General features: G+C 39.0%; 1 protein-coding gene across 54 annotated transcripts in view; it reads left to right on the forward strand.

Annotated features, from left to right (window-relative positions):
* The window catches only part of LIMCH1 (LIM and calponin homology domains 1), a 340,438-nt gene that overhangs the window by 238,364 nt on the left and 75,378 nt on the right, over positions 1-26,696 (forward strand). For 24 of the 54 annotated variants that reach the window (NM_001289124.2, XM_011513653.2, XM_047449835.1 and 21 more), the window contains exons 4-8: positions 950-1,056; positions 5,905-5,935; positions 7,924-8,034; positions 15,496-15,691; positions 21,218-21,470. In NM_001289124.2, the coding sequence (NP_001276053.1) occupies positions 8,026-8,034; positions 15,496-15,691; positions 21,218-21,470 (458 nt within the window). In that variant the 5' untranslated portion in view covers positions 950-1,056; positions 5,905-5,935; positions 7,924-8,025. Of the gene's footprint in view, positions 1-949; positions 1,057-5,904; positions 5,936-7,923; positions 8,035-14,931; positions 15,129-15,495; positions 15,692-21,217; positions 21,471-22,453; positions 22,721-26,696 lie in introns of those variants that run through there. The other 30 variants (XM_011513642.2, XM_011513644.2, XM_011513646.2 and 27 more) reach the window with 3 other exon arrangements.

Raw genomic sequence — 26,696 nt, forward strand, 5'->3', positions numbered from 1 at the left:
CGTTTCAGATTTTTGTAGCATGTTTCTCACAGCATTCAGATGGATTCACATCAGTCTGGCTTCTGGAGCCGACATTCCCTATCCTGTAGTTTTCACTAACTGATGGGGTCAGTTAGCACCTTCAAAAGTCTTTTAGGAAGAGAACAGTTAGAGACTTGTAGCTGGTAAACTTCTTGACTAATACCCTGGAGTTCCAAAAGGATGACCCACAATTTGCAATCCCTTTCAGAAGCATTTGTTTGTACTTAATGACTTAAAATAGATGAAGACAGACCCCTCCTTAATTGTCATTGGTGCCTGCCAATTCAAAGTAAATTTGTATCTGCTAGAGAAAATTTCACTTTCTTGACAGTCTTTTGCATTAGTATTTTAAAAGCTTTCCCTGTCCTTTTTTCTCATTTCGATTGTCTAGATTTTTTTTCTTGCATTTAACTCAGTGTATAATCCACAAAGAGGTATTACTAGTCAAAATCCCTAAAGGATGTAAAATACATCTAAAGAATATATTTTAGAAGATCAATTAAGAAGAAAAACTTGCTAAAGATGAAAAACCTTTTTAAAAAAAAAAGAAAGAAAAGAAAAGAAATCAATTTCAACCAGATTCTAGGCAACAAGACATGGACAAAGAAGCAATAAGGAATACCTGTTTTTGAGTACAGTTCCCCCTAACAATGCTAAGTTTTCCTTTTTAATGGCATTTTACTTGCAGTTTTATACAAATGTGTCAAGCTAACGGGAAAAAATGAATCTGGCATGGTTGTGGGTTTGGAGGTTTGAAGTGTCTGTTTATCTGGCATTTCCTAACAAAGTATGATTTGTTATGCAAGCTATGATTTAGACCTGACCATAGCTGCCTTAGTGACCAGTATCCCTACAGCAACTTGGGAGGGGCTGGTTCATAAAGATAATCTAAGATAATATAGACTTATATTTCTTTTTTTCCTTCTAGGACAATATTATCTTATTCTTGAGAGGTTGTAAAGAGCTCGGCCTTAAAGAATCTCAACTTTTTGACCCGAGTGACCTCCAGGATACATCCAACAGAGTAACAGTCAAGTAAGTAAAGCGTGATTTATGTTTAAGGGAAACTCCTTTATAGTTTGATTTGCAATTTTGTGATGATGTTGTAAGTTCTAAGAGACAGAGAATTGGTTATGCTTAATAAAATAAAAATGTGAAGGTAAAAATCAACTTTCAAAACAACTCACATTGACTTTCCCTCTGTGCATAGCTTTCATTCTGATCAAACATCATTTTTTGAATGCAAAATTCTTGCATATAGAGTTTGAATTTTGAAGAGGAGAAAAATGTTAAGTAAAGATTAACAGAGAGGCAAGAAAGAAATAGGCACAGAATCAGTGTGTTAGACAAAAAACTTTTATTGGCACCAATTGAACATTTGAGTAGGCTCTTGGAAGGTAAACAGATCTGAACTCTGTTATGCAAAGAAAGCATTAGATTATGGAGAACTTGCTTCTTCATTTACATGTGTAACTGTCTTCTCATATGTGTCAGTGATCAAGTTCTTTGAAGATGGATCAAGAACTTTGACTATATCTACTTAATGAGCCCTGTTTGGGCCAAATAATTCTTGGAGCAGAATGTCACAATAAAAGAGACAGCAGTGTACTTTGTGTAAAGAAATAGCTTGTGACCAGGGTATGAGATGGCAGAGATAACTTTCCTGTAGTTTAGAAGTTCTTTAGATCCTACTGATTTCATATAAAACATTTTCCACTTTAGCCAAACAATGTTTGACATGGATATGCCTTAATAATAAACATAGTTACATAGATAGGGTCTGTGAATAGGTAACTTTTCTTCTTTTGATTGTTTTTGGAGTCATTTTATCATGAAGGAACAGAAAAGGGAGAGAAGCCAAAATTCAGAGCTGTTAATTTTATACAATTTGCTTGATTTTATACTATTTGCTTGATTTTTATATTATATTTGCTTGATTTTTATACATTTGATTTTATACTATTTGCTTGATTTTTTGTACTATTTGATTTTATACTATTTGCTTGATTTTTTATTTTTTAAAAAGGATGAGGAAAAATAGGAAAAAAATGAGAACTACTGGATAAAATAAAATTTGGGGTTTATGTTGGATTTTGTGATTCATGACTGGGAATATGGGAGAGTTAGTAGTGATCTGTTATCTAAAAGTACTTTTCTGTTGTCAATATGCCATTCTTTAAAACTTCTCTTGGAAAAATTTTAACTAAGCGAAAAAATAACAGAATAAAAATCAGGATATTTGAATATGGAAACCGCACTAAACCTCATCTTGGTCATCACATGCCCCATTTATTATTGTACTTAAATCTATCCTCTATAAACCATTGTTCACTTTAGGAAATTGTTTTAGGTTCTGCCTCATCTCCCATTCATAGTTTCACCCGGGTGGCAAGTGACCAGAAACAATAGCAACTGTGCAGCTTCGTAGGTAATAATTAGTCACACACACATTGCTTGGAGGGTGAAGGAAAGGTCACTTTGAAAGTGTCTGCAGCTGCATTCATTTTTTTTTAGAGCCACTTTAAATCAGTATGTTACTAAACCAGAATTCTGAGCCTGATTGGTTTTAAAAATTCAAATCTCGTATCACCTTTATTGCTTATCTACAAAAAACTGGGCATCAGGAAAATGAGGATCTAGCCCTAGGTCTGCTGCTCACTAGATCTGAAGCCCTGGTTAAGCTCCCTTCTTCAGCAGGCCCCATGTATTCATCTAAAAATTGAAACTGGATGGAATATTCCATCTGGTATGATTCTGGGTCAAGCTTGCTCAGTGCAGATATGGGAAGATGGAACAACTGACTTGTAAAAAAAAAGAGATTTAAATCAAGGTGTGGAAAGAAATCTAAAGGGGAAAATGTCACGTAGGCAAGTGACACGTGGATACAGTCCCTTCTTAGTTACTGTACCATCTTTTTGTTTTCCTGTTGATTTTTCCGTCTTTTTTTCTGTCTCCTTTTCTTCCTTCTGCCTTCCCTCCCTTTTTAATCCCGTCTTTCCATCTATCTCTCCTTTTGTATTTCTTCTCCTCATTTTCTTTTTAATGTTTCCTTCACTTGGGTACTCTTATTTTCTTTAGGCAATACTTTGCCATCACATTCCCCCATGACCCTGGCATTTTTCATTCATTCATTCAACAAATGTTTGCTGAGCAGCTTCTGTGTGTTAGATACTTTTCATCACTAGAGAAATAGAATGAACTCAGATAGCCAAGGTCTTCTGCTCATGTGGAGTTTACAATCCAGTGTCAAGAAATGAGAAGCAAAGAAGTAAACAAAGAAGATCATTGCAGGAAGTGATAAGTGCTGAGAAGAAAATAAAATGGAGTGATAAGCAAAAGACAGTGGCCAGTCCGGAGGTGGTTGAGGGTGGCTTCTCTGAAGTGCTGGCATTTCAGCTGAGCACTAACTGGGGGCTGAGACACAAATAGGAAGGAAGAACAGGCTGTGGGAAGATCTGTGGGGCATTCAGGACAGAGAAAGAGCAGGTACAAAGTCAGGGGAAGAGGAACCACAAGCTTCATGTTTAAAAGAAAGAAAAGTAACTGGTGTGGTTGAAGGATAATGTGTAAGGACATGTGTGGTGGGCGTGGCAGTCCACAAGCAGGGTAGGATGTTGAACTCAGAATCATTATAGAGAAAAAACATTTTACTGTATGAGTATTTCAAAGAACATAAAGAATTTTATCTTAAAATGATGCTATAAATTCACTTACAGTACGTAGAAAGTTGTTTCTGGTTTTAGTAAGGAGTAGAGTATGGAATAAACTATCGGATTTCGTGTATTTTTGATAAGTGATGCTGGTTTAATTTGGCACTGTGCAGGGAATGCTTGTAACATATGCAGATTTTGTAAACTAAGGTAGTTAAAGTGGAACTGCTATATTTCTCTGTTGTCCCTCTAAGAGCTGAGCAGGACATCTGTAGACACAGAGAGGAGCACCCCATTGCCACCAATTACTAGCGGAAGCAGTAAGGTATAGGGATAGATCCCACAGAAGAGCTTTGGATGGTTTTCTGGAAGTTTTGTTTCAGAAAATACTCTTTCATTTAGCTTTCATGATAGGCAGTTTTTCTTGTGTGGTGTGTGTGTGTGTGTGTGTGTGTTTTCTTTTAGAAGAAACTTGAGTAGACCAAAAAAAAAAAAAAAAAAAAAAAAAAAGAGGAAAAGCCTGCAAGTGATTACTGCATGTGTAATTTAGTGAACTCTACCTGTAATGGATGCCAGACAACCTTGATGGGAAATGAAAGTGTAATCTAGACAGGCACACAGCAAGTATTATTCCAAGGAATCAAAGCAACTGGACGAAATGTACGCAGGCTCTGGATTGCTCCCGAGTGTCTCTGTCAAAATTTGGAAGTATTTCCACATAATAGGTGGGAGTCATTCAACAAATATTTTGTGAGCTTCTACTATGTACCAAGCATAATTTTTAGCACTGGGTTACAGTCTTAGTGAACTTTTATCATCACTGCAGAAAAAGCTTTATGTTCCCTATTCTTAATTTGTTTTCCATAAAAGTTTCAAATCTTTTATAGATTTTTAAAAATCTGGTTTCTTTCTTAAATTAAAAACCCTAGCAGATTGGGAGGCCAAGGCGGGCAGATCACGAGGTCAGGAGATGGAGACCAACATGGTGAAACCCCATTTCTACTAAAAATACAAAAATTAGCTGGTCATGGTGGCACGTGCCTGTAGTCCCAGCTATTCGGGAGGCTGAGGCAGGAGAATCGCTTGAACCTAGGAGGTGTAGGTTGCAGTGAAACAAGATCACACCACTACACTCCAGCCGGGCGACAGAGTGAGGCTCAGTCTCAAAACAACAACAACAACAACAAACCCTAGCAGATATCCAAGCAGATAAGGACATCCCATTTTTTTTCCTATTAAAAACAGAAACATGAAACATTTTTTAAATCAAATCCAAACTGGACTAATGCTTCTTTCAATCTATGTCCTTGTTGATGGGTTTATTTCCATGGTATGCTACTTGTTTTCTATTTCTTCAAATTTCAATGGACTTAAAATGGTTCACTTATTCATTAATATGTACTTTAGGTCAGTGTATGCTGCAATGAAGTAATCAGGGTCTAAATACTTGCAGGAATTCTTGACTGGTTTATATGATAGTCTTACACTCCCTTCCCCCTCACCGAAGTTACTGTGGAAAAAAGAAGTGCAGTTTGTTTTTTCTAGTGTGTATTTGTTGACGTGTTAAAAAAACTTTGAAATAATTTTGCAGGAAGTCTTATTTCATTGTATGAATATTTCGAAGTAGCTTTTTTGTTTATAGTTAGAGAGTAAACATGGGTGCATATTTGAGCATGCATGTGTGTATATTTGAACATAACAGGCATATTTTCCTGCTTATGGCTTATTCCCAGTGCTAATTTATGTCCAGAGCAGAAAAGAACAAATATTTGGATAGGATTCCTTCTTGTACACATATTTTCAGGTCTGTCTAATTAAATAAGGTTTTAGACCTGTGTTAAAAATACTTGCATGAAGATTTTGGAAGTGCAGTCGGATTTCAGTTTGACGGTGGTCTATAATCAAGGCAGAATCTTCAGTGGTTAATCTTTGAGAACACAACTATGAATAGTCCCAGTTCTGATCGGACTTTTTCTATTTCCAGAAATTATAAAGCATCGTCTTTTTATAGCGTACTGTGGAACTTTAATCCCACCTTGTCCTTCTACATTTTGTTTCCTAATTAACTTTATTCAGTGCCCGAAATCACAAAACTTAAGCCTTAAAAAATAATACATTCTTCTGATTTCATTATATATGTTAGCTTCAAGTACATCTTAGTGGCATTTAAGGAAAGGTCACAATTTAGAATCTGCTATTCTGACAATATTTTCTTTTCCCTTTCCTTGACTAGGAGCCTTGATTATAGTAGGAAGCTGAAAAATGTAAGTGTTTTAACTTCCAAACTTGTATCTTTGATGGTTCAAGTGTAAAATTTAGCTAATTCAGTGTTTCTCATATGCCTTGCTGGAAAAAGTCCTTAGAAAAAAGTATATGTGTATTTCATAGAATAGTTAATGACCATGATAGAAATAAAAATAGTAAATTGTGTATGTGTTGGGCTGGGGTGGTGGTGGTTCTCTTTATTTAGATAAGTGCTCAATCCAGAAATAAACAAGTGAAAGCTTGTACTCTGTTTATGATTCAGTTTCTTAAACACAAAATGATCAGGCTCAATACTAACATTAGCCCCTTTCCATTTGTAGGCACAGATGGGATTATTAAATTAAGGAGTTTGGCAAATTGTTGTAGGGTAAGATCTGCACAATATGAATAGTGTTGACTGCCATGGGCCTATACTCTATGTATTTTGTTCTCCTTTAAATCTTTTGCACTTTTATTAGTACTTGCCCAAATGAACTTTTTGTAGATCTTATTTTCAAAAGGCAAGTATGTTAGTGCTGTTTTATTTTCAGTTTAGATTGAGGAATGAAAGAAGTCACATTCTGCATCTAAAATTTTAAAATTGGCTGAAGCCTCTTTTTAAAAAAGTTTCCCTAGGTGCTATTATATTTGATTGGCATTTTCATTCTTATCTTCTTTTTCCTCCTTTATAAAACTAGAGGTATACGCCATTTTTCATCATAAAATTTTAAACAAATCAGAAAACCTTTAACCTAAAACACAACAGTCTATTTTCCATTCCCCCGTTATACCTTTTAAGATAGCCTCATACTCTCAGCACACATTAGTTATTTTATGGTCCTAGTTAATGTCCTGACGTTTGAATCTCTGGAAATTTATTTGTAAGCAATCAGTTCAAAAGGATGTTCTGGAAGTTTCGAGGGATTCATGAAGTAAAATTTTCCCACAGAGGTAGAAAACAGAATCACCTCTTAGCATCAGTGCACATAACCATATTTTGGGTCTGTCGCCAGCTGGACTCATGTAACTATACCATGTTGTCCGAAACATTTTCTGGCCTACCAAGTAGAAGGAGGCACAATAAGTACTTCCCAGACTGGCTGAAGCGATAAGACAGAGTGTGAAAAGAAAATACTCATCTTAGCTTCTACATGGGCCTCAGATACTTGTAATTCAGTGTGAAGGAGCTCATCTTCAGCTGACTCTGCTGGGTTTCATGGGAAGTGAATGTAAAGAGGATTTGCTTTTGTGGACAATTTCTTTGGAAATACAGAACAAAATTAACTTGGGACCGTAGCTTCAGACCATTGAATACTCATAGACATTCTTAAATATCCAAGGTTGTTTAATTGGTAGCAAGCCTTGTCAAGGCTCAAAATTTCCCATCTCAGATTAATGGGAATCTAACTATACCCCAAAGCTAGGTATCTGCAGATCATATTCTTCACGACACTGCTTTCTTTTGACTTTAATTAGATATATTATGTTGATCCTGTGCTGGGAACCACTAATTAACCTTTATCACTTGTTTGGGATTTTATTTTTTTTCTGCCATTGGCCTTAGCGGAACCTCTGTGCCCACAAGTAGAAATTATGGGCCTTCAAAAGCACCTTTCTCAAAAGGAATTGACAGTCTCTTTCATTGCTTCTCTGGATAAAGATTCCAAAGCATTTTTGAAAAATTGTGAAACCTTCACTACATAAAAGATAATGTGGGTAGATTCATTTTTCCTTCTTGCTGTCTTAGAGATCATTTCCTCACTACCTAACTTTCCCTAACGCTGGAGTCGTTTTAACTACTCAACCGTGTTTGTGTTGCCTGACATGGCATTGGGTTCTTATTAAAGTGATTTTACATTTAATGGATACCTCATGGGTGGTGGTTTTTTAAAATCGATGTAAATCAGCTCTTTCCTTCCTGCCTTCCTGTTAGTGGTACATTATTGACTCCTTAGTTTAAACGTCATTCTTGAGGGAAAAATCTGCTCTTGTGCGTTTTGTTCCACAGGTATTAGTTACCATTTACTGGCTGGGAAAAGCAGCAAACAGCTGCACATCCTACAGCGGAACGACACTAAACCTGAAGGAGTTTGAAGGATTGTTGGCTCAGATGCGAAAGGTAACTTGGCTTTTCTTCTTTATCCCATAAGCGTTAGACAAGGTGGGAAAGCTACACATTTGCTTGTTTTTAAGATTACTAGAGTACTGGGTTGTGGAATGGTATGAGCCAAAGATATGCACTCAAGGAAACGATCACTTGTCTTACCAATGACATCTTTGCCTCATGCATGTCACACCTACCTGCACTTTCATACCCTTCAGAGAACAGGAGTTCTGAGCTCCATCCAACTTTTTAATTCCAAAAAAGCAAATTCAATCTATCAGTATATGCCTTTGTATGCCAAGATGCTCAGTGCTTGTTTTCTTGGGGGAATAATGCTTGAATTAAACAATGCAGTATTATGCAAAAATGAAGACTCGCTCTGCACTTTTGTGCTAAAGGGCATTTTGCTTACCCACTGGGGCCTTGATGTGGGTGAGGTAACGTGAACCAAGCTCTTACCTTGGCATACGCTCTGGACAAGGCGGGATACATTAAATGCATTCTCCTCTAACATGTGCATGTTATAGCCACTGTTTTTGAATGACATAGGAATTTGGAAAACATTTCATACATTGTTAAAAGCTTCATTTGTTTCTTTGAGTATAGAAAAGACTGACCTAAGGTAGGGATTTGTCAAGGAAACAGTTGAATGTTTCATGTGTACTACTTGCCTGAATGTTTCATCTGAAGGTCCAGCAATATACAACTCATACAAATGGCTAGTACATAGTGTTACCCAGGAGAGGCCCTCCCAACCCGCCTTAGTGTACAGGTAAGGCTTATTTATAATGGACCTCCATGTACTTTTTTAATTATTTTATTTTTTTGAGATGGATTCTTGCTGTGTCGCCCAGGCTGGAGTGCAGTGGCGCAATCTCAGCTGACTGCAACGTCCGCCTCCCAGATTCAAGTGATTCTCCTGCCTCAGTCTCCCGAGTAGCTGGGATTATAGGCAGCCACCACTAAGCCTGGCTAATTTTTGTATTTTTAGTGGAGACAGGGTTTCACCGTGTTGGCCAGGCTGGTCTTGAACTCCTGACCTCAGGTGATCCACCCACCTTGGCCTCCCAAAGTGCTGAGATTGCAAGTGTGAGCCACCGCACCCGGCCCCTCCAGGCATTTTGGATAAAGTCCACATTAGAGGACAAATAATTGAGGCCTTACTCTTCCTCATTTCTCTAGTATGCAAAATAAATGAACTAGAAACATTCAGTTCCTTGCAATTTTTCTTTTAATACTGAAAGCAAGAATTGGTTCCAATTTTCTAAACATTTATTTTCCTTTCCTTAAATTAAAGCTAATGGTCCTGATAGTTCTTCACATTTGGCTAAGGCCAGTCTGGCTCATGTATTTATAAATGGCCAAAGCTTTCATATTGGTCATAACGCACATACACAAGGTACTTTAAGCTGAATTCCTTTAAAAATTAAATAAACACAGACACACAATGAAGCACAACTCATTGCTTCTCAGTCTCACCTCTTATTTGCCCTTTAATTTCTCATCTAACATCCAGTCTGGATTTGAGATGTCTAAATGTTTATTGTTTTTATATTAAATTTGGACTTGAATAATAATAGATGGGTCATGAAGCTTTGTCTCACAGTTCCCCTGCTAGATTCTGTTGGAATCTGATTTATTCTCATGATTGACATTTCTTACTACTAGTCCAGCTCCTGTAGAATCTGAGCAGCTATTGGTTTCTTCAACTCTCCTAGCTTCTCTTTCTACAGTTAGTTTCTTCAACTGCTGTAAAATGACCTGTTGTTAACAGCTGTTACCCTTTTTGTTGAATGTAGGTAACATCACAGGACATGGTGGAGTAAGTAGTATCCCTGGATACATGACTCTTAGCAAAAATGGCCAGCCATGATACTGCCATATCTCCATCTAGAGAGAAAATGACTTGAACTTCACTGGACTATCTGAGCACCTGGAAATACTAGTTTTATATGTGATATATATAATCTCATTTTGTCAGTTAGGATCGGGTTCAGCTGGGAAACACAAAAGCCTCAAAATAACAGATAAAATAAGACAACAATTTTATTTCTAATTCACATAAATGAGACGTGGACATGAGCAGTCCAGGGCTGATGTGGGGTTCCATGTCTTTTCACCAACAGAAGGCCCAAGCTTCTTTGTCTTTTTGTACCAACAACCTCAACCCATGGCTGTTCACCTGCTGATCCAAGATGGCTGTTCAGGCTTTAGCCATCATGTCCACATTCAGCCAAGAAAAGGGAGGAATGGCGGGGAGAAGATTCCATGCTCTCCCTTTAAACACACCTCTGGGAAATTACACACTACACACATAGCTACATCTTACAGACTTGAACTTGGTCATGCATCCATATCTAGCTGCAAGCAAAGACTTGGGGAAAGTAGACTTTATTTCAGCTAAAAACTGTAGGCATTTTTGTTAGGAGAGCAGATATTGAGGGACAACTGTAATCTCTTCTGCACATATGCAGGCTGAAATAAATTTGAAATTAGTTTTTTTTCTTTCACAAAGGAGATTATCCACAAATTTTTATATTCATTTTTCTAGTGGGTGAAATGTGCATAAAAATGATTCACTAGGGTGCAACTTGTTAAGTTCTATAGTAAAGGTGACCCAGGTAGAGCCCTTGGCATAAAGTCTGGCATGTAGTAGGTATTCATAGATTGCTGCTACTGCTGTATTTTTTTTTAAAGGATCTCTAACATCACAGTGACAGTGGCCTTTCACTGAGACTGGATATGTCAGAAAAGTCCTTCCAAAGGAAGTGGCACTTCAGCTGAACAAAGAGGATTTACTACAAGAATATTAAGATTGAAGGGACACCCATGGGGACGAGGGTGGCCCTGGAGATTTCAGGATCTTTCTCTCATCTCTTATCTCTCCTTAAACTCATTATTTCTTCCTATAGGCAAACATTCCCTTATAACAGGGAGCGTGGCCAGTATCATCCCCAGGATTACTTGCTTCTAGCTCCTTGCCCAGAAAAGCAAGGGAATGCTGTCCCCTGGCCCCAGGTGTAAAAAATTCCTAGTAATGTACCCTGGCCCCATGTGGACCTTATTCCTGAAGCAGTCACTGTGATCAGGGGCAAGTGATACCGTGACTGGCCCAGGCTACTCCTGTTTCAGGGGGTGAGGGGTATTACAGGAAGAAAGGGAAAAGGGGAGGGAGCATGGTGGGCAAGCAGATGCAAGATCTCTGCCTAAAAGAGCAACCATCTCAATTTCTAGTCCCTCAACCCACCTTATGTTTTTTTTTTTTTTCATGATACTTATCATCCAATTTTGTATTCATTTGTGTTTTTCTGTGTATTTTTTGTCTTCTTTACTGGAATTTAAGACCCATGAAGACAGGGTATTTGTTGATTTTTCTGGAATGTTGTGAACTAGAACAGTGCCTGTCACACAGAAGATGCTCAGTAGATATTTGTGGAATGAACAGCTTCCACAACCAGAGGGTGGTGGGTGGAGAGTGGCTGAGCAGGCTGGAAAAGTAGAACCCTAAAGCCCTCTAGATCAGGGTGAGCCACCTTACAAATCACAAAGGGAGCAGAAAATGTTGAGCAGTAAAAGAGAAGCATCTGGAGTTTCTCAGAAACTGTTAAGTCATCCACCAGTCCTAGCTGGTTCTTGTTATGTCTGAGAAAGGGGGATAGGAGGAAGATGAGTAAAATAATCCCAAAATTTCATGAAGCTAGTAGTTCTCACCCCTTCATTAACATACTTTAACTAGAGTAACTCAGTAGCAGTTAGCACAAGGGACTGAGATTCTAGATGAAAAGCAGAGACAATGTTAATTAGAGCCCAAGAAAGGAGAATGTAGATGTGCTAGTCTCTGTTGGTTTATATCTTCTGCTCGCCATCAGAAGCTTCACTTTAAGTGACCAGAAAATGAGATATGGTGACTTGATGGGAACCAATAGAATTGTCCATCCAGCTGATATCCTCATTTTTATTTCTGGCTGAAGAGCCAGCCTGTCACTTCACCCTGAGCTTCCTCGGGACGAGCTTGGCCAAGCACAGCCCTGGGTGGCCTGGTTTTCACTGTTCAAACTGGCCATGCCATTCAGCTCCCAGCTCTTGCACTTGGTCCAAGGTTTGATTCTTGGCTTTCTACACAGCCGTGAATATAACGGCCTCTCTGTTTTTCCTTCCCATAACTATCTGTGAGAAAGCAACTAACGCTCCAAGAGGCATGTTGACTTTCTCCTTTCTTCTCCTGTGGTTTGTAGGGTGAGGGTGGGGAAGACATTTGGGCCTGTGGGGAGCCTTTCTGATATTATTTTCTTGAAAGTCCAGTTGTGTAATGGCTGCACCAAGGAACTTGTAGCTGTGTCATTTCCAGATGTGACCAGCGGTCCGCCTCCCTGAGTGTCTGCCTTCCCTGATGGTAAATTAGGCTCAAGACATCTAGACATGGGATATAAATGAAGAGAGAGATAGAGGAGTGTCAGGATGTGTAGAAAGTTGTGTCCTTAGCTACATTTATAAATGTTTTATGATTTGTATATATTGAAATTTACCCATTTGAGAGAATAAATTGTAGTAATTATAACTATAGCTGACACTTTTAGAGTACTTGTTCTGTAACAGGCATTTTTCTGAATACTTTCCATATATGAACACATTTAACCCTCCCAGCAACTCTGTGAGACAGGCGTTATTATTAGTCCCATTTTACAGATGAGAAAACTGAGGTCTGGAGAAATGAAATAACTTGCCTGAGGTCACAGCTGGCAAGGGGTGGAGCCAATAGTTAAACCCAGCCAGTCGGTATTCGGAGACCATTCTCTTAACCATTACCCTAAACTCCTTCTCTCTTGCACTAATCATGCTTCATATAACATTTCAGTCAACAGTAGACAGCATATACACAATGGTCCTAGAAAATTAAAATTCAAGTTGAATATCCCTAATCTGAAAATCTGAAATCCGAAATGCTCCAAAATCCAAAACTTTTGAGCAAAGACGTAACTCTGAAAGGAAGTGCTCACTGGAACATTTTGGATTTTGGATTTTCAGTTTTGGGATGATGCTGAACTGGTAAGTGTAATGCAGATATTTCCAAATCCAAAAAAGTCAAATCCTGAAAGCTTTTGGTCCCAAGCATTTGGATAATGGAGACTCAATCTGTAGCACATTTTACTGTATGTTTTCTATGTTTAGGTATGTGTAGATGCACAAATACCATTGTGTTGCAGTTACCTACAGTATTCAGTACAGTCACATGCTGTACAGCTTTGCAGCATAGGAACAATGAGCTGTACATATAGTCTAGGTGTGTAGTAGGATTGGCCATCTAGGTTTGTGTGAGTACACACTGTGATGTTTACACAACAATGAAATCACCTAATGACATATCCCTGTCATTCAGCAACACATAACTATATTTATAGTTTTGTGATCTAGTCATAATAGCATTTAGCTGAGGATCATAATCCAGGTTAGCATCATCTACAGAATAAGGAGGCAGTAAGTGTCTAGTAGTAGAGAAGATGCTGATGGTGGAACTGTAACTGTACCAAAGATGATCAAATATTTTCAGCTATACCGTTTGGGATTTGGAGACAGAGTCCTGTGTTAGAATCACAGCTTTGCCACTAACTGTGTGACCTCAGTCAAGTTACTTAACCTCTCTGATTCTTATTTTTCTCTTCTGTAAAATAGGGATAATGCTAACCATGTTTTAGGATGAGTGGTTGTGAGGATTAAATAACATAACATGCAAAAAACATCAAGTGTAGCTGCAGACACATAATAAGTGTTCAATAAAAGTGACCTTTGTTTTTTAGCCATTTGGCCTATTCTCAGTAGGTAAATAATCCAAGATAATTACTTGCATTTCCAAAGAAATTAAATATGAAACCATATCCAATTTGGGTCTATAATTTTCAGTGAGTCATGAGTTCTTCCTTTTTCAGTTAGTCAGGCCTGGCTTTTGTTCAAGTCCTGGTTAACTTTTGACCTAAGAGTAAGCTACCTTAATTTCCATAACTGGAATTTCTGCCTTCCTCTGGAGGGTTATGCCGGCTCTACTCACCCAGGCCATTTGACAACCTGTTCTTCAGGGCATTAATCAGTCCTCTGTCTGGAGGCTGCAGGGTGCTCCTCTCCGTCCTGCCCTTGTCCTCTTGCCCACTCCCTTCTCTTGATGCAAAGCTGTGTGTGTCTTGTAAATTACAGCCACTCTGTCCCCCGCAAAGGGCCTCCTGCTGCGGAGTATGTCAGAGGCTCAGGATATAATTGATAGAAGCAGCCAGCAAAGGCACTTCCTGCAAAGGCATTGGCTCCCGTGGGCATCCTAGACAGTTTAGACCAGTTTCCAAAACTGCTAACATGAAGAATATTTATTTTTCCTTTCTATTGGGAATGCAGAGGGGACTTTCGCGAGCATCCCAGGGAATCTGCAGTGTGGCATTCCAGTCTTTGCGGATGAGAACATGCCTCTCTGCCAGTGTTATCCACAGTCCTAATTTTAAGCGACAGTCTGGATGATATTAAATTGAGGTTTATCTTTGAGTGACCAGAGTTATTTTTGTTTTAGTCAGCCTGGACTATTGTAATTAATGCTAAGACACTGGCGGGAACAAGGCTTTTATTATAATACGAGGGTGAGGATGGCTTTGACTGACCTTTCTTCTGCTGGAGTTTCAGTGTTTTAGTATGTGCTGCTTGTGCTGGAAAGAATTTATAATCACAGGCTGTCAAAGACAGCCATTGTTCTCCCTGCTCTGAACATGTGGGTCAGCCACAAGTGCTTTCAGCTCCCCCAGCGCCAAGAGCTGGCTGAGAGCGAGAGCATGCCTGGATTCTTCTGAGGCATCAGGAAAAGCGTTTTGCATATTTTTCATTGCCTTTCTTTTTTTTTTTTTTTTTTTAACTTTTGCCTCAGAAAGACAGCTCCCTTTCAGAGCAGGAATTTCCCTTCAAGGTAGCAGGAGATGAACGCGTGCTGCTCCAGGATTTTACAGAACTGATTCTGCAGCAAAGACAAATGTTGCCTGTATTTGCCAGATAGTATAAACAGGAGCAAAAGTTGCACAGCTAAACCAGGGGCTCATTCCCAGGACAGACATGCAGTTATGGATTCCGAAAGACAAGTCAAGGTTAAGGTTTTGGTTTTTCGTTTTTGTTTTGAACTATCATTGTACTGTTGTGAATCCAAACTTTGTGATCCTTTCTTCTAATTCTTTCTCTACTCTTTTTTTTTTAAACCTAGGGAATATGAGTTATTTGGGGATTTTTTTAAAAAAAACGTTGTGCATGATTTTCTGATTGGGAAAGTTGCAGCAAAGGAGGCTCCAGGAACAGAGCAGTGACTTTTCAAAGATGATTGATCCTGTAACTGGTTTCCACAACCTTTCCATTCTGATGTGATATGCAGGGGTTTTTTTGGAGACCACTGGAGACCCATCTTCCTGATAGTGTAGGCTAGAATTATGTCTGTAACCCTTTCATTTTCTTTTTTGACAGGACACTGATGACATTGAAAGTCCTAAACGCAGTATCCGAGACAGTGGCTACATCGACTGCTGGGATTCCGAGCGCAGCGACTCCCTCTCTCCTCCTCGCCACGGCAGAGATGATTCCTTCGACAGCCTGGATTCCTTTGGCTCTCGCTCTCGGCAGACGCCTTCACCAGATGTAGTCCTCAGGGGAAGCAGCGATGGTAGGTTGGAGTCTTAATAAACTATCCATCTTGAAATTAAACATTTGCAGGGGCTGCATTGCGCCTGGCAGAGGGATGGGCACTGGGAAAGCAGGCTCCATATCCACCTTGCCGGAACTTAGTAATTCTATAAACTGGCAGAAAAAAGAAGTCTTTGAATGTTGTTTTTCATGGTCCTTAGAATTTTGGTTGGCTTTGCCAGGAGTTTATTTGAGCACTGCCTCAGTGAGCATATCTTCTGTTGGAAAATGTGTTACATCATTCCTCCCTTGGACTCAGTGAATCAAGACACTGTGCAGACCATTAGCTCATAAAGTGTGCTGGAGGTTTATATACTCTGGGCATGAGGAAGCTAAATGTTTGAGTGAGTACCACACTATATAAGAGAAAATGGATCAACTTCCAGTAAACTGGAAATGAACTGCACACACTTAGAAAGTTCTGAAGCCTGGGATTGTGCAACTTTAATTGGCATGTTTTTTGGCAATCTGTTTGATGCTTGTGATACCTGACTGGTATAGCTAGCACGATGCAGGTGGCTGTTAATGTATAGTGCACAACCCAGGCTGCCTGCTTGTTCTGAAGCTGGGATTGATTTAAACCCTATGGGTTTTATATCACTTGGAAGAAATGATCATTTTTCGTTACAAAAATGTGTAATCATGTAACTTGATATACACGTAATGCCTATTTTTCAGAAGCCATTTGTCTTACTTATCTTGTACCTTTGTACTTTTAGAAGGAAAGATGGTTTGGTTCTACATATTCTACATATATAAACTTGCGGAAAAACATGAGGGCTAGTGGGGAATTTTTAAATTGTTTCTTTTTTCAATGTATTGCTTGGTTGATGCTGCTATATCTAGCTAATATATCTTAAGCCTACTCTGAGATCCGAATTATCTTTTGTAGCTAAAAGATCCCTTCCAGCTATAAAATTCTGTTACGAAAATACTTGACTATTTAATGTGTCCAGGATCTAAGTTAATTCCTTGGTACACAGTATCTCATTTAGTCCTCAGCTGAGATTTTAGAGATACTCACTCAGTATCTCATTCAACACTCCCACAGAGCTGTGAGACACTGCTTATCCTTACTTCACCAATGAGCCTTTGAGAAGTTAAGTAATCATCTCAACATTTACAAGTTACAAAAAAATCACTGTCAGAAAGTAGCATAACAATGTTAGCTTTAAGAAGTGTGAATGCAGAATCTATGCTCTTAAGCTTAATTTACCCACATTTCTTTCTCTTTGCCTAATAGATGTTTTATTCTGGAATGGCTGCAACTAATGCTTTTGTTTAGGACTTAAACTTTCCAGCAAATAGTTTAACCTTGGGGCCACATAGTATGTGACTCCTAAAGAATTCCAGGGTGCATTGTGAGCCTCTTGCAAAGCATTTCTAAAATGTTATATGTCATTTTAAGTGCCCCCCACACTATTAGAAGTTAAATACCAAGTTCACTATCTAACTGAGCTTTAACATAACCAAAGAGTAGATTTACTTTTCCAAAACATGTCTTAACCAAACGATTTCATACATATTATTTTGATTAGTTGTTTTAAGTTATTGCATTTTCTTCATCCTGTGTTTTTCTTAACTGGTAATGTAGATTATCATTATTTATCATTACCAGCTTTGGGGGGTTCAGAGTTTAAACGAATCACATCTTGAAGGGATTGGAGGTGGTGATTACTAATATTATACTAATATGTATGAAGTACAATTTAGTTTGCAGCAATTAAAATTGATAAGCTAGAGTGTTTTTATGAATGTTTTCTCCATCCAAAAAAACATGAAATTAGAGCTTCACAAACACCATCCATGAAAGAGCTTCTTATACACAGATTTTACCAATCAACCCGATACCTTAAGGCTTATGCTCTTGTAAACTAATCAAGACCTAATGAGATTCTTAAAGAAAAACAACACATTTATTAATCTGCCATTTAAAATGTAGTATAATTTTAGCCAAATAGATGTTGGGTTTCATAAGCGTTTATAGTATGTTTTTAAATGGTGCTGATTAGGAAGATTGCTAGTCCTAATAAACACTTCCAAATTTGAAAAAACTTGTTGTAAGTCTTGAGAATTTATTTCCTAGGACTCACAATCAATTGGGGAATATCTTACCATGAAATTATTCAACTCTATGTTGGGCCAATATAGACATCTTTCATTTTATTATTATCCACTCCCACTAATCCATTCAATAAAGATAATCAAGGGCCATACTCATGAGAAGCATCATGATTCTGTGGGTTGGACACAGAGCTACCTGGTAGGATGCTGTAGATCCCAGGGTTGATTCAACCAATCTGTCTTGCTAGACAGGTGTCCAATTTCTCCCCCAGCATTAATAGCATCTCTTATGAGTCCACTTAATGGGCTTCATTGAAGAGGAAATAACAAAACCCTCTACCCAGATGTTTTCAAAATTAAGAACATATTTTGTAAATATGCATTAGGTTAAATGAACAGTCTAATGTTTTATATCAAAGATGTGCTGAGGGAGGGAAACAAGTAATGAGAGAAATCAAAGTGCTAGAGGAAGATTAAAAAGCGAAGGGTTGGGGGTGTGTACGGCAAAGATACATTAAAAAAAAGTAATCCCAGCACTTCAGGAGGCCAAGGTGAGTAGATCACCTGAGGTCAGGAGTTCAAGACCAGCCTGGCCAACCTGGTGAAACCCCATCTCTACTAAAAATACAAAAAATTAGCTGGGCATGGTGGCGGGCGCCTGTAATTCCAGCTACTCAGGAGGCTGAGGCAGGAGAATCACTTGAACCTGGGAGGTGGAAGTTGCAGTGAGCTGAGATCACACCATTGCACTCCAGACTGGACAACAAGAGCGAAACTCCATCTCAAAAAATAATAATAATAATAATAAAATAAAGAAAATCATCATCACATGCTAGATTACATTCTCCTAACTCTGGACATAAATGGAGAAGCCACCTTAGTAGATTTCCATGTTCACAGGGAGAAGTGAAGTCAAAACTTTTGAGGTGTCAGCCTCAAAAGAAGACTCTGACATTTCCCAAGGGTATACTGGGCCGGCCACCTCCTAGGTGCTTTATGTCATCTCATTTAATTCTTGCGACAACATGTGATACCTGTATTATCACCTCCATGTATCCCATGAGGACCCTGAAGTATAGAAGATTTAAGTATCCCAGGGTCACACAGCTAGTAGATGGTAGAGCTGAAATTTTAGACCCTGGTCTCTAAATCCATAAACCTATACTTCTTTCAACTGAGCTACTCTGTCCTGGAGCATTTGCATGGCTAATATTTCTTGAAGTGTCTAAGACATTCACCAAAGAATAATTGGGGGAAAAAGTGATTTGCTTATGTTGTTAGACAACATATTTGGAGACTTTCACTCAGTATATTATAGATAATATAAATATATATCTATATCTATATATGTGTGTGTATAGATACTATACACAAATAGGATTCATAGATTATAGGATTTTAGAATTGAGGGACCTGAGACAACTCTAATCCATCACTAAGCTTTCATAGTTGATTGAAGAATCATTTGCTTTATTTGTTCAACAAAGTGCAGCACTTCTCGTAGTCAGAACACTTTTATCAGGAGACATTTTCCCAAGACAGGTGTGTCACAGAGGAAAGAACTTTGGGAGTCAAGAGAACAGAAAGTAGAGTTTCAGAACTGTCACTAACCAGCCCTGCAGCAGGGGTTCCTACAGTGTCTCTGAGCCTCTGTACCCACCTTTATAAAATGGGATAGTATCAAATGGGGAAACAAATTTAAGAGTTTAGCAAGGTAGGGTAATGTTTGTTTATAAAGCAATTCACAGGGGGCTCTAAACATTTCATTATGATACTGAGACAGATATACTTGTTTAAGGACCGGGTGGAAAGGAGCTAAATTGTGAGTCAAATACTGTACTAATAAGTAATGAAATGGTCAAAACTTCAGAAGGAGGACTGAAAGCATGTGGCATGAATAATTCATAAACTGAATATTTCATCTGCAACAATGAACAACTTGTTTATGGTCAATGCCTTTAACGTTTACAGTCTTTTAAAAGCCATTATATCATTTAACCTCCAGGGCAAATCATTTTATTCCTATTTTACAGAAAAGGACAGTCAAGTGTGTTAGAGACAACCCTAGGAGCCCCAGCTCATTTCTGACAGATCCAGAACTATTATGACATAAAGAGTAGCCAGCATTTATTAAGCACTTAGGCTGCCCCAAGCACTGTACCAATAGTTTCATATGTATCTGGTTCTTCCAACAGCTATGAAGTAGGGATATTATTATCCTCATTTTGTAAATTGGGAAACTGAGGCTTAAAGTACTGATGTAACATATGTAAAGTCTCATGGCTAATGAGCAGCAGAACTCAAAAGGAAGTGGCTCTGACTTAACACCAACCTTCTCTGCCAGGATGCCACATCTCCTGGCTCTTAGTTTAAGGCTCTTTTCTTAAGGGTAAATAGGTATATATTTTATTTGTTACCACCATAGTTGAATAATCTTGTAATGCTCTCATTGATTGTTTTCAACCAGCATTGAAGTGGCCGCTACTTATATGGCAGTGTTTGTTGGAATGATGGCTTCATACTAATAGATCCTAGAAATCTAATAAGATGAGACTCAGGAAACAAGAATACTATATAATTATTGGGGCTTTTGTCCAACAAATGGCTGATGTTGGGAATGCTGAATTCCTTTGTGTTGTTTAAAACACTCTAAGCCAAACCAACTCTTTTATTCATCAGATAATCTAAGGATGCCCACTGTGTACAAAGGCAATGACATAATAACTATAAAAACTATAAAGCCCTTATTCTCAAAGTACAAGGTAGAAAGTATAATGTGCCAGAAGAAAAGACAAGATCATGGGGGCATAGGGTTCACAGGAAGAACAGATTGCCTCCAGCCGTGGGAACCAGGAAGAGCTCCCATGCAGAGGAACTACTTGAACCACTTCCTGGAAGACAAACCCTTGGTATAATCCGAATTGATCACTTTTCTGAGTTTCTGTTGTTCTACATCTGTGCTTCTTGATTATAACTTAAATTCTCTAGGTATGTTATGGGTTGGTTAAAGATGCCTCAAAGACAAAATGCTTCATAATTTTTATTTGCTGGAGTATCTAGCATAGTGTAAGACATGCAGCAGGGGCTCAGTGAAAACTTCATTGGATAATTTCTGTTTTCTTCTGAGAGTAGCAGAATCTCAGGAGGCATAAAATCCTATTGCAGATGTGTTGCTAATTGTAATTCTCGGATACAGTTAGGCTTATGTCTGTAGTTTTTAGTTTTGCCCTTGTCAGGTTTTTTTCCTGATTTTTTTCCTTCTTTTCCCAGAGTGGAGTAATCTACATGTGTAACAAATCTACACTTTAGATTTGTTAAGTGAATGATTTAAGAAGGAATCCTCAGAACCCACAGATTGAACCACATCCCTAATGCATGCTTAACATTGGGAACTTTCTGCTAGCCTAACACACTTTCTCAGTACCCATCCTCTCTTCCCTAGGGAGAGGAAGCGACTCTGAATCCGACTTGCCTCATCGGAAGCTGCCAGATGTGAAGAAGGATGACATGTCTGCACGGCGGACTTCCCATGGTGAGCCGAAATCAGCAGTGCCTTTTAACCAGTACCTCCCGAACAAAAGCAATCAGACGGCCTACGTCCCCGCGCCTCTGAGAAAGAAGAAAGCAGAGAGAGAGGAATACCGCAAGAGCTGGAGTACCGCCACCTCCCCGCTGGGTGGGGAGAGGCCCTTCAGGTAAGGCCTGAGCACCGCTGCCCTCTTCCTGGCTTGGGCATGAGTGGTTTGGGAACTGCAGCTCCTGGACAGGAACGAGGTTAAATGACCAATTCAGAACTTTGATGGAAGATTACAGATGGAGGTGGGTGGGACAGATCTTTGGAGAGAGCTTGTCAGGAGAAAATAGAAGCTTCGTGAGTGCGCCTAGAACAGTGCCTGGCACACAGTAGGTATTCAGCAACTACTTGTCTAAATAAGCAGATTTCTGAAACCAATTCTGTTGATAGGACATTGAGAGCAAATCTGTCATCCTTGTCCTTCTGCGGAGACTGCTTGACTCCCAATCCTGTCAGATTAGGCGTAGAAAGATTCCTATCTTTATGCAAAAAGATGTTTTAAAACTCTAGGCTTAAATTAACTTGATATAAGCTCAAATATGTGATGCATGGAATGTGGTTCACAATAACATATAGAAATAGTCATAATAAATGGATTTCTCATCTCTTTAGAGAAACAGTGTTTTAATCTCTGATTATGCTTTTGTATTTATTTATTCATTTATTCAGCAAGTACTTATTGAGCATCTACTATATGCTAGGCATTGGGGACCCAATAACAAATAAGGCAGAGTCCCTGCCTTCAAGAATCTTACAATAAAATAAACTTGTCTAATAGTCCATCTGTACTATTATTTTCCATTGAATAAAGATGTTATTACAATTTTTAATTTGCTGAACAAACTAATGAAATTTACCTTTCCAGCAGAAAAGGTTTTTGCCTTTCATTATCAAGTCTGGGATAACTCTCAATGTTGCGGGTATGATGCATTGTATGAATTAAATGGCTGCGTTGAATTTTCTTCACATTATCAGGATTATATTGTGTGCTATGACTTTCTTTTCTAAAGTGAAAAGTAATATCAGAATAGCGGGGAGATGACATGGGGTCTGCTCCCCAGCCCAGTCTGTTAGTTTGGTAAACCATATTGTCCAACTCACTAGCTTTCCTGAAACGATAGAGGAAGAGGGGAGTGAAGTGGGGTCTGCTGGTGAAGACAACCCAGCTGGCCAAATGAATCCTGGTTGGAAGCCTTCCGATGGTGGGTGTGAATTACCTGACGGCAGTGGTAAGGAGCACCCTTCTTCAGACGGGGCTGTGGTGGCACCAGCTCCCAAGTCTGAAGAAAAAGATGCTGCTGAGATCCAAAAGCGCAAAAGGCTAGAGCAAGCTGGAATCAAGGTCATGCCAGCAGCACAGCGCTTTGCCAGGTCAGCTCTGGGCTGAGGGCTGGCCCGGCTGGCTTTCTGCATGCCTGGGGATTTGGAATCTGTCTAGAGAGTTGGAGTTTTCATCTGATTTTTCCACTTCCCGCTTTTCCTATTGCATCACTGTTCCCTGCTCTGAGCACGTAGATGATAGTCTTTGCCTTAAGGCATGTCTCTGCTAAGTACCTCCTGGGTATTTTAAATGAAGGTGAAGAGTGAGCTCCTCACTGCTGGGTGCAGCCCTTGTCTTTGTCATGTATTTGTGATCAGTCATGTGTGGGCTGCAGGATTTACCTAGCAATAACATTGTATTTTTCTATTGTTTGTGGCTTGTTAATTTTCATGCTACTCCTAAATGGCTCATATCTTACTTTACACATCACTAGAAAAATAGTCTGTTGCTTTGAAATGGGGAACACTCTCTTTAGAGAGTGGCTGGCTTACAAAATCCACTTACTTTCTTTGTCCCAAGAGAGTACTAAGTAGAATTGGGTTTATTTGACTCCTTAGTTTCTAAAGCATGTTGATTCAAAAACAAAGAATGGAGTAATTACTTCTCTTTAATTGTAACAAAGGTACTAGTATCCAGTCCTGATAGCTTCATATTACATGTGAGATGGAGACCTTCAGCAATCAGAGCCAAGGAAAACTATAGTTCTGCACTCTTCTGTAGTGTTTTGAGAAGCTGGTTAATTTTTCTTATAAAATAACCACAATGATCCTAACAAATAATAGTGCAGCCAAAATGTATTTTACAAATTGACATTCATAATAATTTGACAGTTGGAATTCCTTTGCCACTTGCTGTTCCATTTAATTTTTTTTTTTTTTTGAGATAGAGTCTCACTCCGTCACCCAAGCTGGGGTGCAGTGGTGCAATCTTGGCTCACTGCAACCTCTGCTTCCCAGGTTCAAGCAATTCTCCTGCCTCAGCCTCCCAAGTAGCTCGGATTACAAGCGTGTACCACCACGCCTGGCTAATTTTTGGATTTTTAGTAGAGATGGGGTTTTACCAGGTTGGCCAGGCTAGTCTAAGAGGTGGCTGATATACCCATCTTCCAGAAGTCCAGAAGTGGGAGCTGAGGATCGTTGATAGTCAGTGACTTGCAGAGCTGGTCACCACCGACCTGGTGATCAGATTCGGATGCTCTGACCACAGCACCACATCTGCCTCCCACACATTTTCCATTTCTCTATACAGCTCCACATGTGGTTATTTATGTGGTCCAGGTCTTAATTAAATATCCAGTGTTGAGTTACATAAATTTAATTCTAGAGTACCTTTGTATTAAAAAAAAAAACAACTAAGGATATACTTCCTCCTTGTCTGTGGTATATTACAGATAATCATGCCTATTCTGAACACGTATGTGCTTCTGGAATATTCTAACATAAAATTGTGTTTATGTTACAAACAGCTCTCTGAGTTTATTAAATAAAGAGTAATGTAATAAAATCTTTTTTTAAAACTCCAGATTTTTTAAAGTTTTGATACAGAGACCTTATCAAACACATTTTTTTCTGCATCCCTTGAGCATCCCATACACCATGTACCAGAGACTGGACTAGATGCTGAGAAGACAAAAATAATAATAGTGAGGGGAATACTATCTCCTCACTAGGTACCATTTTTCAGACTTCTCCAGCTTCTGCCTTTAAGGACATAGTAGTAGGTAATAAGTGATACAGATAAGAATATGAACTTACCTGAAATTTTAATCTTCCTGTCTTTGACACACATCTTTCATTTATATCACGTGTAAAGTCTTTAAGCTAGTGTTTACCAAGGATACCATCATCCTTAGAGTATCTAAAACAGCAAAGGGGGATGAAGGGGAGCGGCATTAAGCTAATTCAGCACACTCAGGAATAATGGTCACATAGAGAAGAGAAGTGGGGTAAAGGCTGGGAAGTCCATACACGTACTGTGCCACTTCAGTACCTGGGACGTTTATTTTATTAAAAACTTTGAACTCTTTTATGACAACTCCCATTCACTGTACAAACATCAAATCATAGTTTAAAAATGTAATTCTAATGAATATATATTATCTTTGTTTATTTCACTTCCATTCATGTTTCCTGTTATTTGGCTTAATTTTAACCTATTTCATCCAAGTTAGCTCTCATATGCAGAAGTTTGCAGGTCAGTTAATGTCATGATGCCTCAGGTCTTCTGACTTAGCATTTAAAATTGGGCTCTGGATAATTATGCATATTCTCAGAGAATGTTCCCAATAGCAACACAACACAGCTGCTCCAAACACCCAGAATTCATTTGTTAGGCAGATTTTTCAGCTGCCAGCCAGCGCTCTCACAAAGGTTTTACACATAGCATGCCACCAGCCTGGCATGTCTACGTCTTTGTCACTTACTTTTTTGCATGCCACAAGAGTTGAGAGTCATTCTAAGTTTATCCACATTTGGGATCCTGCTTTTAATGTGGCAGAAAGTAGCTTAACTGGAATGAAGTATCATGAAAAAGAAAAGGACTCTTGGTGTCTGGAAAATAGGAATTTAAATCATTGAAATACGCTGATATCTCTCGAGGCATTTTAACCTCAGTGTTCTGTCTTTGACATCCAGATGAATTCTGACCAGCACGTCTTTGCACCCAACAAGAGGACCACTTGTTGTGGCCCATTTCTCAGCTGGGAAATGTTTGCAGAGATGATTGAGATAATAGAGCCATGTCCGAGGGGAAGAGCATATAGATGAACAACAAAGCTTTATTTTGTAGACTGTTTTTTGTTTGCTTGTTTCCCAAGTATTCTTAAACACCTTGCTAGGCTGGGTGCGGTGGCCCAAACCTGTAATTCGAGCACTTTGGCAGGCCGAGGCGGGCGGATCACTTGAGGTCAGGAGTTCAAGACCAGCCTGGCCAACATAGTGAAACCCTGTCTCCACTAAAAGTACCAAAAAAATTAGCCAGGCGTGGTGGCATAGGCCTGTAATCCCAGCTACTTGGGAGGCTGAGGCAAGAGAATTGCTTGAACCCGGGAGGCAGAGGTTGCAGTGAGCCGAGATCGTGTCACTGCACTCCAGCCTGGGCAACAGAGCGAGACTCGCATTATCTTTAAGGCAGTATACAAAAGGGAGCAAAGGTGCATGTTATTTCATTTTCACAAGAGGTCAAAAACCTAGAAGTTTCAAGCTTCCTGTCAAACAATATATTAGCGGTATCTTAGCATCAAGAGACAGAAAGTAGGATTTCTTAATAAATGTGTGGAGTTTAATATTTATTAGAGTTTCCACTGAAGGGAAAAAGTACATAAATTACTTTTTCTTCTATTTTATTTTATGGTTGTGCTAACTTAATTATCCCCCAAATATGAGAGTCTGCCAAAGAAGCCAAGATTTCTGTTTTTAAGAGGATAAAATAAGAACCAAGATGCACTTCCCCTGAATTAAAATGCCATGGAGATTTGAGTTCTTTTACTTGGTGTTTCCCATTGGAGAAGTAAACTTTTTTTTGAACTGAATTATAGGTTTCACATGATTGTACCTCTTTTCTAATTGTTTTCATATGTTTCAGCACTCAGTGCTTGCTTTCTGCTAGTCTGTGGATCTTCTCAACCACGTAGTAATTAATTACAGAGGGGAAAACAAGGCAGGGGGTGTGGGGGCGTAAAAAAACCTCCGAGGAACAATAGACATTTTAGAAATCTTTAGAGGAAGAGCAGATGCAGCTAAGTGCCAGACATGGATTCCTCTACAGCCCTCCTTACCAAACGCCGGTTCACCGTGGCTGCTGAACAGATCCTTGGGTATCGGGGACCAGTCAGGCACATAACTTGCACGAACCTTTGTGACTCTGGATGTATTAGGGCGGTGCACAAGTAATTGCGGTTTTGCCATTTTTAAAGGCAAAAACCGCAATTACTTGTGCACCGACCAAATAGCTGCCCTGATTGGAGATGGGGTGAACAGGGAAGTTTCCAGTGTCACCCAGGACATTCCCAGGGGGACTAACAGGCTT

This window comes from Homo sapiens, chromosome 4, assembly GCF_000001405.40.
Source record: "Homo sapiens chromosome 4, GRCh38.p14 Primary Assembly".
NCBI classification, from domain to species: Eukaryota; Metazoa; Chordata; class Mammalia; order Primates; family Hominidae; genus Homo; species Homo sapiens.